Source organism: Homo sapiens, chromosome 6 (assembly GCF_000001405.40).
Source record: "Homo sapiens chromosome 6, GRCh38.p14 Primary Assembly".
Lineage (NCBI taxonomy): Eukaryota > Metazoa > Chordata > Mammalia > Primates > Hominidae > Homo > Homo sapiens.
In genome coordinates, this window is record NC_000006.12 from 144,675,928 (window position 1) to 144,691,795 (window position 15,868).

The 15,868-nt window shown below is 38.7% G+C and overlaps 1 protein-coding gene across 2 annotated transcripts in view; it reads left to right on the forward strand.

Moving 5' to 3' along the window:
- UTRN (utrophin) overlaps positions 1–15,868 on the forward strand; it is a 567,700-nt gene that overhangs the window by 390,593 nt on the left and 161,239 nt on the right. For both annotated transcript variants that reach the window (NM_007124.3, NM_001375323.1), the window contains one exon: positions 2,479–2,651. In NM_007124.3, coding sequence (NP_009055.2) covers positions 2,479–2,651 — 173 coding nt within the window. The remainder of the gene's footprint in view (positions 1–2,478; positions 2,652–15,868) is intronic.

Genomic DNA, 15,868 nt, shown 5'->3' on the forward strand with positions numbered 1-15,868 from the left:
CTATGGCTTTTGATATAGATTGCCAAATGTTTCCCCAAAATCTGAACCAATTTTAAAAAAATTTATAATAATTCTAATTTTACTTAAACTGCCCCCAAATGTATTTTATAAAGATAAACTATTTTTCTTTTTTTTTGGCTTTTTCATTTAATACTAGATATAAATAAATTATTGAAATTTCCCAGATAATGCATGCAATTGTTTTGGATAAATCAGTGGGATAATATTTTCTTTTATATTTAGTTATCAAAATAGATTAAGGGCAAGTAAAGTTAGGGAGACTGACTTTCTTTGTACTTTCTTTATACTTAGCCAGAAATTTTTCTGTTACAGAAGAATTAGATTGTTATTTACATGCCAAATATATGTTTTTCGTGCTTATTCCCAAGAATGATCTTTCACATCAATAATAAAATAATTAGGTTGATAAATTTAAGAACCATTTTAAATCAGATAACTTCACTTAAATATGTGCATAAAGGCTAGATCTTGTCAAAATTTCCCTCTCCCCTCTTTCTCTGTTTTTGTGTGTGCATAAGCCTGAATATATCAGTTATTCTATGCTTTTGGAAGTATTTTTGCTGACACGTTAAAAGTTTGTTTTTTTTTTAATTATACTTTAAGTTCTGGGATACATATGCAAAATGTGCAGGTTTGTTACATAGGTATACATGTGCCATGTTGGTTTGTTGCACCCATTAACCCGTCATCTACATTAGGTATTTCTCCTAATGCTATCCCTTCCCTAGCCCCTCACCCCACAACAGGCCCCGGTGTGTGATGAAACCGTTGTTACTAGTTTTTATTTCTTAAAGATGATGAACTTGTATATAAAAATATTCTTTTAACATTTTAGAAATAAATTTTATAAGACTGAAAGGACAAACTATTAGTAAATGTTTCAAAATGTGAAAAACACTTTAGTTATAGTTATGTAATATCTTAGTGACCTCTGTAAGATGTAATATTTTAAGGGAAGTTTTACCTATGTGAAAACGGGAGAGTAAGAGTCTGTTGGATATTAGGCAAAGTTCAGTGATTTGGCAACAACAGTTGTATAAGATTTCAAAAATTGCTAATTGAATCTGATATACCAACATCTAACTAGCTGGTACATGAACTATAGATTACAATACATTTTTTAAAAAAATTGAGGAGTCAGTGTATTGAACACCTTTTAAAAAATTTCAATTTAAGTTCTGGGATACATGTGCTGAACGTGCAGGTTTGTTCCATAGGTGTACATGTGACATGGTGGTTTGCTGCACCTATCAACCCATCATCTAGGTTTTAATCCCTGCATACATTAGGTATTTGTCCTAATGCTCTCCCTTTCCTTTCGCCCTACCCCCCGACATCCCCCGGTGTGTGATGTCCCCTTCCCTGTGTCCATGTGTTCTCATTTTTCAGCTCCCACTTATGAGTGAGAACATGCGGTGTTTGGTTTTCTGTTCCTGTGTTAGTTGCTGAGGATGATGGTTTCCAGCTTCATCCATGTCCCTGCAAAGGACATGAACTCATTCTTTTTTATGGCTGTATAGTATTCCATGGTGTATATGTGCCACATTTGCTTTATCCAGTCTATCATTGATGGGCATTTGGGTTGGTTTCAAGTCTTTGTTACTGTAAATAGTGCTGCAGTAAACATACATGTGCATTTGTCTGTATGGTAGAATGATTTATAATCCTTTGGGTATATACCCAGTAATGGGATTCTGGGTCAAATGGTATTTTTGGTTCTATATCCTTGAGGAATCGCCACACTGTCTTCCACAATGGTTGTACTAATTTACACTCCTACCAACAGTGTAAAAGCATTCCAATTTCACCACATCCTCGCCAGCACCTGTTGTGTACTTGCCATTCTAACTGGCAGGAGATGGTATCTCATTGTGGTTTTGATTTGCATTTCTCTAATGACCAGTGCTGATGAGCTTTTTTTCATATGTTTGTTGGCCACATAAATGTCTTCTTTTGAGAAGTGACTCTTTGAATCCTTTGCCCACTTTTTGATGGGGTTGTTTGCTTTTTTTCTTGTAAATATAAGTTCCTCGTAGATTCTGGATATTAGCTCTTTGTCAGATGGATAGATTGCAGAAATTTTCTCCCATTCTGTAGGTTGCCTGTTCACTCTGATGGTAGTTTCTTTTGCTGCCCAGAGTAATTGATAGATTCAGTGCTATTCCCATCAAGCTACCATTGACTTTCTTCACAGACCTAGAGAAAATGACTTTAAATTTCATATGGAACCAAAAAAGAGCCTGTATAGCCAAGACAATCCTAAGCAAAAAGAACAAAGCTGGAGGTACTGAAGATTTAAAGACTATAATTTTCAGAATAATAAGAATTTTGGAAGCACTTGAATTTCTTATAATTTAAGGTGAAATGAACTATTTTGCTTGAGAGCAACTCATCTGTGAATATAAAGATATACTGATTCCTAACACTTGCATTATCTATTTGCTTTTTTCTGTTTAGGACATCCAGGCAGAAATTGATGCCCACAATGACATATTTAAAAGCATTGACGGAAACAGGCAGAAGATGGTAAAAGCTTTGGGAAATTCTGAAGAGGCTACTATGCTTCAACATCGACTGGATGATATGAACCAAAGATGGAATGACTTAAAAGCAAAATCTGCTAGCATCAGGTCAGAATAGTCAATATCAAAATAAAAATAATGGGGTGGAAGGGGTAGATACTTGTGATTTTTGTATATCAGAAAGAGAAAGCGCAGCCTTACCACCACTTCTATTTCATCAGAAATAGTTTAAGATTTTAATGCAAAGCCTGTTTCCTTGAGTTATATAGTTCAAGCTCTATTTGTGTCCAATACTTTCTGCCACCTGTTCTAGACTATTCATAAATGTTCATATATTTTAAATCTAACAATACTAGTAACAATACTGTTAGCAACATCTGCTAATTACTGAGTGTTTACCTTGACTAAGTACTTGTTAGGATCTTTACAAATGTTACTTTATTTCGTAATCAAAAAATCCTAGTAAGGTGGGTGGTAACATTATTTCTTCTATGAGGAAACAGAGGTTTAATGAATATAAGGAACTTGCCAAGTTTTGGGGCTAAGAAGTGCCAAGTCAGAGTTTGAATCTAGATCTTTTTTACTCTTGGCAGTGAACATGTTTTGCTTAATCATGTTGTTTTTTATGCCTCATTCAAGATGTATTTATAGAAATTAAATATCTCTTATGGACACTAAAATGGAAAATTGATGATTCATGTCTGCATTTGGAGAGAGTAAAATTAAATAAGGATGAACCTTAGGACCAGAATTCTGACTAGGAAAAGACCTTGAAAATTACCCAGAGAGACAGTATGATTAGTGTTATTGGGATCAAGAATATTTTAAGATCATATTTAATAGAGAGTGGACAGCTCCTAATTATATATAAATTTAGTGAATACTGGCTGAAAAATATGTTATTGAGCAAAAATCTAAAAGCAGAACATTGGCAGGAAGTCCTGGATCAGCTTTTGTTTTGTTTTGTTTTTTGCCTTGTACCAAGTGTACATCCTTTAAACCAAATGGTCTTGAATTTGACTCTGACTTCACTATTTACTCTCTGATCTTGAACAAACTACTCAGCCTCTTTGAGCCTTGGATTATTTTATTTACAAAATCAGAATAGAAATATTTAACACTCATGATTGCTATGAAGATTTAATGGAATGGTTTGATAGTTCCCTAATCTATGTAAATCCTGCCTAAGAAAGCATCTAGTTAAGTATTTTTATACATAAAGGGGCTCACTGGATCTGCCTCAGCTGGTTTCAAGATTTAATGGAGAACAGAATTTTCAATGATTACTTATCATAAATGAATTAAAATTTTTTTTTCTAAGATGTATTGAAAGGTTTTTATTCTTCTGGAGCTCAGAGAGTGGAATTTGCAGTTCCTCTTACATGTGAGGAAGGGAGCAATGCAGCATGGACATGGATGCTCTGTGTAAAGTTCCCATTGGGAAATACAATAGGTCAGCATTGGCCAACTACTTTTTCTTAGTAAGAGAAGAAAATTAGGGAGTTCTATGTAGTGAGGGATTATACTTTTTTAAGATTTGAATTTTCAACTGCCTAGATCCCATCAGGTTGCAACTTTCCATTCCTCATAAATATGAACAAAAATATTTAAAATATTAATAGTGAAAAGCATTCACTGAGCATCCAGCAAGTCATCTATGCCAGCAACCTAAGAATTCCAGAGCTGGCCCTAGTGAAGATGGTATACATGGTGCTGGGATTTTCAGAGGTTAGAGAATGACTTATTTAGGAAGAATAATTTAATGAAGACCTATATCATAAACAGATCATTCTAAGTAAAAAGTTACAGACAAGAAATTTTTGGTCTTTCTTGGGAGTTATTGCCTAAGCCTATCATGACACATTTTTTTTTAACCTGGAAAGAAAGAACTTATAAACTACAGTTGGAATATTATGTAATAAGTAAGTTAACATTATTTTTAGAAGATGGGAGAATATGCTTGTGGCAGTGGACTTTTGCATTAAGGTAGATCAGACATTCCAGTAAAATGTAATAATAAATTAATGTGATAATGAATTAAAATAACTTTTACTTTGATTAGTCACCTCAAGAGATTCAAGCACTTATTCAAGCATGTAATAAAAACTTATTTCTGTGCTTAAGGCATTGCTATTAATAAGATGTAGTCCCTACCCCTAGAGGTTCACAAATCTGTTTAGATTAAGGTAGGGCCCAAAGCAGAGAGTGGTTACTCTCACTTCAGATGATCAAAGAAGGCTTCATAAAAGAGGTCATTCCTTAGCTGAGCCTTGAAACATATATAGTTATTCCCCAGATAGTCTAGGTGATGACTGGGGAAGGGTAACTAAGTTAGGGGCTTGAAATAACACTGTGTTGATATGAAAATCAATACATTAAGTCTGGCTGAGAATACAGTTTGCTGCTGGTGTCATGGGGAAAAGACTATGGCTAACAAAAAGACAGAGGTGTAAGAGACAAGTCATGCACACCTATGTGTAACCAAGCTCCCTTCCATTGTGGATGGAATTGGGAGCCTTTTGAGTAACATGATTAGATTTGGGCTTTGGAAGAATCCCTCACACAGCTACGGAGGATGCCTCGGATGAGCCTGTTCTGAAGAGGGGAGACCTGGTAGGAGACACTTTCGGCATCTAGGAAAGGGAAGAGAGATTGAGCAGATAATTAGTTCACGTTGTTAAGACACTGGTGAGACATCCAGGAGAAGACAGCCAAAGCCATTAGATGGAGATCTGCTCTTCAAAAGAGAGCAGTAGGTGAAATAGACAGACGGGAGGCGGTGTCCAGAGACAGGTGGCAGGTAACCATTGTGAGTTAGTTATTAGAGAGGTTGAAACATTAGAAGAGGGCAAAGAAGTCCAAGAAACTCTAATACATAAGGAATGGTGAAGGAGAGGGAAGCAGCAAGGAAACTGAGAAGTCCCTATCCTGAAGAGGGATGAGATCCAGGAATGCTGTCGAGAGCCAAGGAAAGAGGGATTTCTAAAAGAAGTGCATAAGTAATGGTGCAAGCTGCTTGAGGAAGTGGAGTAAGATCAGGCCTGCAGAGTCCAGGAGCAATTAGAAGGGCTTTGGTGGCCTTTTGCCAGGGCCTTTTTTTTTTCTGGTTGAGGGAGAAATCTGATTGCAGAGGACTAAAGAGACAGAAGGGGAGGTGAGTACGTGGAAAAAGAACTGAGTCTACTCAGTCTCGTTATCTCAAGGAACTCATCTGTGAAGGGAAGAGGAGGGAAGAATGCATTTGCTCTATTATTATAGTTGATAGTATTGCAAGTTTATAACAGCTTGAAGCTGTATCTGTATCTATATTAACCTGTCCGTGCTTTTACAGAGATTAGATATGGCTTTTAAAAATTTTTTTAATTTTATTTTTAATGTTTGTGGGCATATAGTAGGTGTATATATTTATGGAGTACACGAGATATTTTGGTACAGGCATGCATGCAATGCATAATAATCACATCGTGGAAAATGTGGTATCTATCCCCTCAAGCATTTATCTTTTGTGTTACAAACAATCCAATTATACTTTTTTAGTTATTTTAAAATGTACAACTAAGTTATTATTGACTATAATCACCCTTGTTTTGCTATCAAATACTGGATCTTATTCATTCTTTCTAACTGTTTTATACCTATTAATCATCACCACTTCCTCCCCATCACCCCCCTGCCCCACCAACTACCCTTCCCAGCCTCTGGTAACCATCCTTCTACTCTATCTCCATGAGTTCAATTGTTTTGATTTTTAGATCCCCAAAATAACTGAGAATAGTCAATGTTTGTCTTTCTGCACCTGGTTTATTTCACTTAACATAATGATCTCCCCTTCCATCCACATTGTTGCAAATGACAGAATGGTGGAATAGTACTCCATTTTGTATAAATACATTTTCTTTATCCATTTATCTGTTGATGAACACTTAGGTTGCTTCCAAATCTTGGCTATTGTGAACAGTACTGCCACAAACATGGGAGTGCAGATATTTCTGCGATATACTGATTTCCTTTCTTTTGGGTATATAGCCAGCAGTGGGATTGCTGGATCATATGGTAGCCCTATTTTTAGTTTTTTGTGGAACCTCCAAACTGTTCTCCATAGTGTTTATATTAACTTACATTCCCACCAACAGTTCACAAGGGTTCCTTTTTCTCCACATGCTAGACAGCATTTGTTATTGCCTGACTTTTGGATAAAAGCCATTTTTAACTAGATTAGGTAAGTTTAGCTAAAGGCGTAAATGATCTCTTCTTTATTTTTATATTTAAAAAATGAATAAGATAAAATTAAAATAGCATGTTTGTTATTACTTGGATATTTATAAAAGATAAAATAGTTTGTTATTTAATTTAGCCTCTGCATTTGCCAAAAATGGTGGCACGTGGTATGTGTTCAGTAATTGTTAGCTATTATTATTCTCATTGATTACCTCTTTGTTTGGCACTAATTTAAAATACACAGGAATTCTCTCTACCCTATGTTTTTCTCTCGGTCGGTAATGTTGGGGATTTCTGAGAAGGTCTCCCAAAACAGCTTCCCCCTTTGCTGGCTGGATTCTGAACAAGTATGAAACAAAGTGTGCTCAAGGGGCATTCATCATGTGGCCAATAGAGAACTCAAATGCCATGTTAATTACTGATAGAGGCCAGGTTGGAGGTGGTAACTTAGAGTGAAGGTGAGTGGAGCTGTCAACCAAACCCCAGAATGAGGCAGAATCACCAGCAGTCACTGGGCAAGGTGGCTTCCCAAGTGAGAAACCATACATGGAAGAGTAGAAAAGAACTCAGTATCTTCATGGCCTGTCGTCAAGTGGACCGTATGGGCTGAGCTAAGCATGCCCAATTATTCTCCCTGAATTTACAGATCAGATTCGTCACTCTACCTTTGCAGGGACTGTTTCAGGGGTGGAGAAGAGACCAGAGTGTGCTTAGTGAGAAAATCCCTCCCCAAGGAGTGGGAGGAGTGTTCTCATAACAAATCTGTAGAGGCAATCCACCTCCCAGGCTCCTGGCTCCTTCATTGCCTACTGAAAGTGATCACTGTGGAGCACACTGTTCAGCCCTACTTCTCTGTTCTTTCCTCTCATTCCTTTCATGCACAATCTGCTCCTTATACTGCCTTCTATTGTGAACACATTCTCCTATGTCTCAAATATTTCTCGAAACTTTTCCATCACTTTTCTCTCTAAATGTTGGGTTTCCCCTTAATTGCCTACTTCGCTTGAAACTCTTTTCAATAGAGGTTAATTTCCTCATTTTCCTCACCTAGCAGCCAATGAGAATATTCTGAATCTCTACCAACTGCTATGGACACCAAACGGCCTGAATACCAGCCATAAACATCAAATGTGGTGCCAGAAAACACTGGCTGAAAAGGGAGCCCTGTCACACAGGGATAAGAGGGACAATTGCCAGCCTCATTGTGACTCATTAAGCATTGCTTCTCCATCTTTCAACAACATCTCCTTAGAAGTGAATGCATCCATTATCCTAATCTTTCATCATCTTATTTCTGCTTCTTCCTGATCTATATATAGGACATGCTTCTACATTCCTCATTAATTCAAGTGTCCCTTTACTTTTTTTTTTTTTTTTTTGAGACAGAGTCTTGCTCTGTCGCCCAGGCTGGAGTGCAGTGGCACGATCTTGGCTCACTGCAACCTCCACCTCCTGGGTTTAAGTGATTCTCCTGCCTCAGCCTCCCAAGTAGCTGGGATTACAGGTGGCTGCCACCACACCCAACTTATTTTTGTATTTTTAGTAGAGACGAGGTTTCATCATGTTGGCCAGGCTGGTCTCAAATTCCTGACCTCAGGTGACCCACTCGCCTTGGCCTCCCAAACTGCTGGGATTACAGACGTGAGCCACCACGCCCAGCCCCATTTACCTTTTATTCTCCATCCTTTTCTCCACTATTATTGTTGGTGCCAATATCCATATTCACAACTTTTTATATTTTGATTTCCAAGTTTCTTTTTACTTTATCTGTAAATGCCTTTATCCCTGTTCTAAGTCCCGTAGACCTTGTCACACTGGGAGTCAGTTAACATTTCCTGTCATCTTGGCATCCCTGAGATAATCAATTTCCAGGAGATCAAGGGCAGACTGTTTTCCAGAGTACACATTTTATTTTATTACATTCGACCTGGCCATGTGCATCTGAATGCAATTGGTTTTCCCCTATTAGTTAGTGAAGAGCCCTCTGTTGTATCAAATCAAATAAGAATTGTTTTCAACCTCATCAGTAAGATGGCTCTCCTTCACATTAAGGTTATGAGTCCTATCCAGGGGGGTGCCTTCCTTCATTAGCTTATTATATACTGGACCTGTCTATCTACTGTTATTTAACTTTACAGTTTTATCCAGTTCATTTTTATTTTTTACTTATTTATTTTTTAAAAGTTTTACAATTTCAGTAGCTTTAAGGGTACAGGTGATTTTAGTTACAAGGATGAATTGTATAGCGGTGAAGTCTGAGATTTTAGTGCACCCATCACTTGAGTACTGTACATTGTACCCATTTTGTAGTTTTATTTTTTTTATCCCTCACTGCCTTGGTAACCTCCCCGACCTCTGAGTCTCATATGTCCATTATATCACTGTGTATGCCTTTGCATACCCATAGCTTATCTCCCACTTGTAAGTGAGATCATGTAGTGTTTGGTTTTCCATTCCTGAGTTACTTTATTTAGAATAATGGCCTCCAGCTCCATTCAAGTTGCTGAAAAAGACATTATTGTATTCTTTTCTATGGCTGAGTGGTATTTCATGGTATACACATACCACATGTTCCTTATCCACTCATGGATTGATGGACACTTAAGTTGGTTCCAAATCTTTGCAATTGTGGATTGTGCTGTGATAAACATACGAGTGCCAGTGTCTTTTTGACATAATGACTTCTTTTCCTTTTGGTAGATACCTAGCAGTGGTATTGCTAGATCACATAGTGGATGTACTTTTAGTTCTTTGAGGAATCTGCTTAGAGATTGTACTAATTTGCATTCTCACCAGTGTTTAAGCATCCCCATTTCACCACATCCTCATTGACATCTATTGTTTTTTGACTTTTTAATAATGGCCGTTCTGGTCAGGGTAAGGTGGTATCTCATTGTGGTTTTACCAGCATTTCCCTGAGGATTAGTGATATTGAGTGTTTCTTCATATGTTTGTTGCCCAGTTGTATATCTTCTTTTGAGAAATGTCTAATCATGTCATTTGCCCACTTTTTAGTAGGATTATTTGTTTTTGTTCTTGCTAATTTGAGTTCCTTGTAGATTCTGGATATCAATTCTTTGTTGGGAGATTCTGGATATCAATTCTTTGTTGGGTGCATTGTTTACAAATATTTTCTCTCATTCTGTGGGTTGTTTTTTTGCTCTGTTGATTATTTCTTTTGCTGTGCAGAAGCATTTTAGTTTAAGTAGGTGCCATTTATTTATTTTTGTTCTTGCTACATTTGCATTTGCTTTTGGGGTCTTAGTCATAAATTCTTTGCCTAGGCCAATTTTCAGAAGAGTTTTTCCTAGAATTTCTTCTAAAATTGTTAATGGTTTCAGGTCTTAGATTTAAGTCTTTAATCCATGTTGAGTTGATTTTTGTATATAGTGAGAAATAGGAATTCAGTTTCATTCTTCCACATGTGACTTTCCAGTGTTCCCAGCATCATTTATTGAATAGCATGTCCTTTTTCCAATTTATGTTTTTGTGTGCTTTGTCAAAATCAGTTGGTTGTAAGTATTTGGCTGTATTTCTAGGTTCTCTATTCTGCTTCATTGGTCTATGAAGATGCTTGATATAATTTTGATTTTTAAAAATTAATTGAGACTTGTTTTGTGGCCTTATGTATTTTGGAGAATGTTCCATATGCTGATGAGAGGATTGTATATTCTTCAGTTCTTGAGTAGAATGTTCTGTAAAAAGCAGTTCAGTGCGCTTGTTCTAGAGTGTAGTTTAAGTCCAGTGTTTCTTGGTTAACTTTCTGCCTCAGTGATGTGTCTAGTGCTGTCAGTATAGTGTTGAAGTCCCCTAATGTTAATGTGCTGCAGTCTATCTCTTTTCTTAGGCCTAGTAGTAATTGCTTTCTGAATTTGGTAGCTCCAGAGCTAGACACATACATGTTTAGGATTGTAGTATCTTCTTGTTGGATTGATCCTTTTGTCATTATATAATGACCTTCTTTGTCTTTTTTTTTAACTGTTGTTGCTTTTAAAGTCTGTTTTATCTGATATAAGAATAGCTACTACTGTTCACTTTTGGTTGCCATTCGCATGTCATATTTTCTTCCACTTTACCTTGAATCTATAAGAATCCTTATGTGTTAGGTGAGTGTCTTGAAGAGACACTTTGGGTGTTTTTATCCATTCTGCCACTATGTCTTTTAGGTGGGAAATTTAGACCATTTATGTTCAATGTTATTATTAAGATGTGAGGCACTGTTTCAGTTATCATGTTGATTGTCACCTAGACACTTTGTTTTCTTTATTGTGTTATTGTTTTATAGACCCAGTGAGTTTTATGCTTTCAGAAGGTTCTGTTCTGGGGCATAATGACCTTTCATTTCAAGATTGAGAACTCCTTTTAGCATTTCTTGTGTGGCTGGTCTTGTATTGACTTGCATATGTTGAAACATTCCTGCGTCCCTGGGATGAAACCTACTTGGTTTTGGTGAGTTATCTTATTGATGTGCTGTTGGATTTGGTTTACTAGTATTTTGTTGAGGATTTTTGCATCTATGTTCATCAGGGATATTGGTCTGTACTTTTGTTTGTTAGGTTGTTTCCTGGTGTTGGTATCAGAGTGATAATGGCTTCATAGAATGAGTTAGGGAAGACTTTCTCTTTCTCACCTAACGCATAAGGATTCTTATAGACTCAAGGTAAAGAGGGTGAAAATATATTATTTGCAATTGAAAACCAAAAGTGAGGAGTAGCTATTCTTACATTAGATAAAACAGACTTTAAAGTAAAAACAATCAAAAAAAGACAAAGAAGGTTATTATATAATAATGAAATAATCAAACAAGAAGATATTATAATCCTAAATATATATGCATATGACAAATTCCTTTGGCATTTGGCTGTGTGAAAAATACTTTATTTCTCCATCATTTATGAAACTTAGTTTTGCTGAATACAAAATTCTTGGCTGACGGTTTTTTCTGTTTAAAGAGGCTACAGGTAGGATCCAAATTCCTGTTAGCTTGTAAGGTTTCTACTGAGTCTGACTTAGCAGTCTGCTAAGTCTGCTGTTCATTCGATAAGTTTTTCTTTATAGGTTACTTGATGCTTTTGTCTCAGTGCTCCTAGAACTGTTTCCTGCATGTTGACATTAGATAGCCTGATGACTATATGCTTTGCTGATGTCCTTTTTGTAGTGAGTCTCCTAGGACTGCTTTGTGCTTCTTGTATTTAGATGTCTAATCCCTAGCAAGGCTAGAGAAGTTTTCCTCAGTTATTTCCTCAAATAAGTTTTCAAAACTATTTGGTTTTTCTTCTCCCTCAGGAACACCAGTGATTCTTAGATTTGGCCCTTTTACATAATCCCATATTTCTTGAAAACTTTGTTCATTTCTTTTCATTCTTTTTTCTTTAATTTTGTTTGATTGGGTTAATTTGAAAGCCTTGTCTTTTGACAGGCTTTTGACAGAATTTTGACAAGGCTCTGAAATTCTTTCTTATACTTAGTCTAATCTATTAAAACTTTCCACTGCGTTTTGTAATTCCTTAAATATGTATTCCATTTCCAGAAGTTCTGTTTTTTTAAATCTATCTCATTAGAAAATTTTTCATTCATATCTTGAATTGTTTTTATAACTTCTTTATGTTGTTTTTCACTTTTCTCTTGTATCTGGTTGAGTAACTTAATAGTCATCCTTTTGTATTCTTTATCTGGTATTTCCAAAGATTTCATATTGATTTGGATTTATTGCTGGAGAGCTAGTGTGATCATTTGGTGGTGTTAAAGAACCCTGTTTGGTCATATTGCCAGAATTATTTTTCTGGCTCCTTCTCATTGCAGAAAACTATTTATTCTAATTATTTTTTAATTTATTTTTTGTTCGACTATGTGTTCTTTTAAATTTCTTTTTCTCTCCTTGAGGATGTGATTTTAATGACTCTAGTTTATTGTAACCCAATTCAGCTCTGCATGGTTTCAGGGGTGAAGACTCTGTATGAGTTCCTTGGTTATAGAGTCTGTATGATGGCTTTCTCAGATACTCATTGTAGTAGTAATGTGCTTGGTGTGTGAGTGGGTTCACTGTCTCCTGTGGCATTGGAATGGCAGTGGTCTCTTGAAGGTTATCTCATTCCCCAGTGGTGTGCACTTATTTATTTTATCCAGTATTTCATTTACTAGGTTGAACAGTTCAGGTTTCAGGCCAGTAGTGGAGGTGTCCATGAGTAAAAACCAAACAGGTGGGTAATGTAATACCCAGTGATGCACAGAGGTCCCAGCCTTGACAGAGGCAGCTAGGGGATCTCTCAGGGAAATGCACTGAGGTCTTTTCAGGGAAAAGGGAGGAAGCTACCTCAGCCCTCCTGTCAGGCCAGCAGGAAAGCCCCACTACCCAGTCACTCTCCTGACCCAGTTTCCTGGCTATTCAGATGACACAGATACCTCTTTCCATCTGTAGGAATGCTGATGTTACATATAGAGAGGGACTGTGACTCTACCCCTCATGTAAGCCTGAACCTGGAAGGTACTTCTCTTGTGGGGATGCAGTCACCCCACTGTTCTAGAATGGCTGTCTACAGGTGCACCCACGCCAAGCTCCTGTGGGAGCAGCCCCAGGTGTGTCTGCAATGGTGGGTGAAGGAGAGAAGTCCCCTCCTCCAAGACCCTTCAGGAGCACCAGGGCTGCCTGACTCTTGGGGCAGAGCTGCAGACTTTCTCCACTGAGCCCAGCATTACACCCATGCCTCTGCTGAAAGAAACTTCCCACAGGTGGAAATGTCTGGGAGTCAAGGCCTGCTGTCTTCATTCTTTTGTCATTCTTTTGTCCCACGGGTTGCTCCCTTGATGTGGAGCACTCCCTCTTTCCCCTAGGAGGAGGAATCCCTGAGGGCCAGACTATTGTGAATGCTGCTGCTCCACTCAGTCTAGCAACCCATTTGGACTGCCACAGTCCAGGCTGGTGCAGGGGGAATGTCTGCAAGGGATCCAGTGATGTGACCTGTCCTGAAGTCTCACAGCAGTGGGTGCCAGCACCAGCTCTGAGGGGGGTTGCAGAGGAGTGATGTAGACTCTGTGATATTCCTTGGTTATAAATAGCCTTAGTGTGTTGGCTTTCTCACATGCCATGTGTAATAGTAACGAACAGGTCACGTGGGCAGACTCAGGGCCTCCTGGTTAGCCAGGGTGATGCAGGTAATGGTGACGGCCAAGGTCACACAAGTTTTCCCCTTCCTGGTGTGGTGTTATTCTCCTTGCAGATGCTATCATGGAGTGAGTCAGTTGGCCTCCAGCTAGAAGGTGGCACTTGGAAAAGGGCACTGGCTGTGGTGGTACTGGTGGGATTTATGCTTTGCCTTATGTTACCCAGGGGAGGTACTCTGGTGTCCCAAGCAATGGGAGGGGCCATAGAGCTCCCAAAAGTTTCTGTTTTTTTTTTTTTTTTTTTTTTGTGTGTGTGTGTGTGTGTGTGTGTGTGTGTGTGTTAAGCTACCAGGAGGAGTGAAGGGGCAAAACCAGGAGGGAGGTGGGTCAGGCAAGTCCATGCTCTGGCTCTCCACAGGCAGACGCAAGCAGCAGCCCTAGTGGGATTGGAGGACAGTTTGCTGGCTGCTGGGGTAGTGTTCCAAGGAGGAGCACAGCTGCCTCTGCTGCACAGAAGAGTGCAAATGAGGGGGGTGTAGCCAGCAGCAGTAAGACCCACCTAGCTTCCCTGCACTTGGCAAGGCAGGTCTCACATCTGCAGCATTCCACTAACAGCAACAGCTAGCAAAGTTCCAGCCAGTCTGCACTGAAACTCAAAACTGCCCCAGATCATAAGCCTTCCCAGTGGAGATGGAAACTGCAGGGCTTTCAGGCCATGCCCATCCTCATCTGCCCATGAAGCAGGGGCACCCAGCTCCTATGCCCACTCAAGTTTATATCATGAATTTCAGTTGGGAGCATCTCTTAACCTGCGACCCGTGCCTGAGTTAATTGGCTGACCTCCACAAGGTCTCCTGTGAGACAGGATCAGGAATGACTTCCCTTCATCCCTCTGGAGACTGGGAGTGCACACACAGCACATCCCGATGTGGTTCCTTCTCATCTACTCCCCATTGCTCACTACACCAGCTCCGGAGCTGGGTAGGGTTAAGGCCTTTTCCCTGACCTGGATTGCCAGGTTCCCCGGTGGGTGTGTATGTGCTGTAGGCAGTTTCTCCCTTTTTCACACTCTGGGGACTTACAATTTTTGGCCTGGCTCATGATATACACTGCAGCCTGCTGCTTCTTTCAAAGGGTCTGTGGTGTCTGTCAGTTTTCTTGTTAAGTTCCTGTGTTGCTTCTTGGAAATAAGTTCACAGTATGAATCTTTACACACTATTTCGTCTTTCCAAGTGGAAGAAGCATGCTAACAATGCTTCCAATTCAACATCTAGGGAAAAAAAAAGTTTTATTCAGTTTATATGCTAGATCTACAATATTTCAACTTGATTATTTATTTATTTATGGAACAGAGTCTTGCTCTGCTGCCCAGGCTGGAGTGCGATGGTGCAATCTTGGCTCACTACAACCTCCATCTCCCAGGTTCAAGTGATGCTCATGCCTCAGCCTCCCATGTAGCTGGAAATACAGGCACGTGCCACCATGCCCAGCTAATTTTTGTATTTTTAGTAGAGACAAGGTTTCGCCATATTGGCTGGGCTGCTCTCGAACTCCTGGCCTCAAGTGATCCACCCTCCTCGGCCTTCCAAAGTGCTAGGGTTACAGGCGTGAGCCACTGCACCTGGCCCCAACTTGATTATATTTAAATGCACATCCTAAAGTATTTTCAACTGTCAAATTCTCCAGCTTTTAAACATTTATTCCTTTTTTTTCCTGAATTTTCACATCTTTCTTCTAATCTTCAGTTACTTAAACCCTTCCTCTTTTCAGACTCCATTAATCCCTTCTACCTAGTTTGGAGCCCATCATAAGATACTTCAGCAGTGTCAAGAGCTTGAATTTCCTTTCCCCTTTTAACTTCTTCTATTTCCCAGTCTCTGACATTCCAATGTCCATACTCTCTCTATCCCTTGTCTTTAATCTTGGATTCTGCCTAGTGTTGCACTAGAAAGTGAAAAATGGTAACATTGATCCTGCTATAATTTGATACTTTCTACTTAAAATTG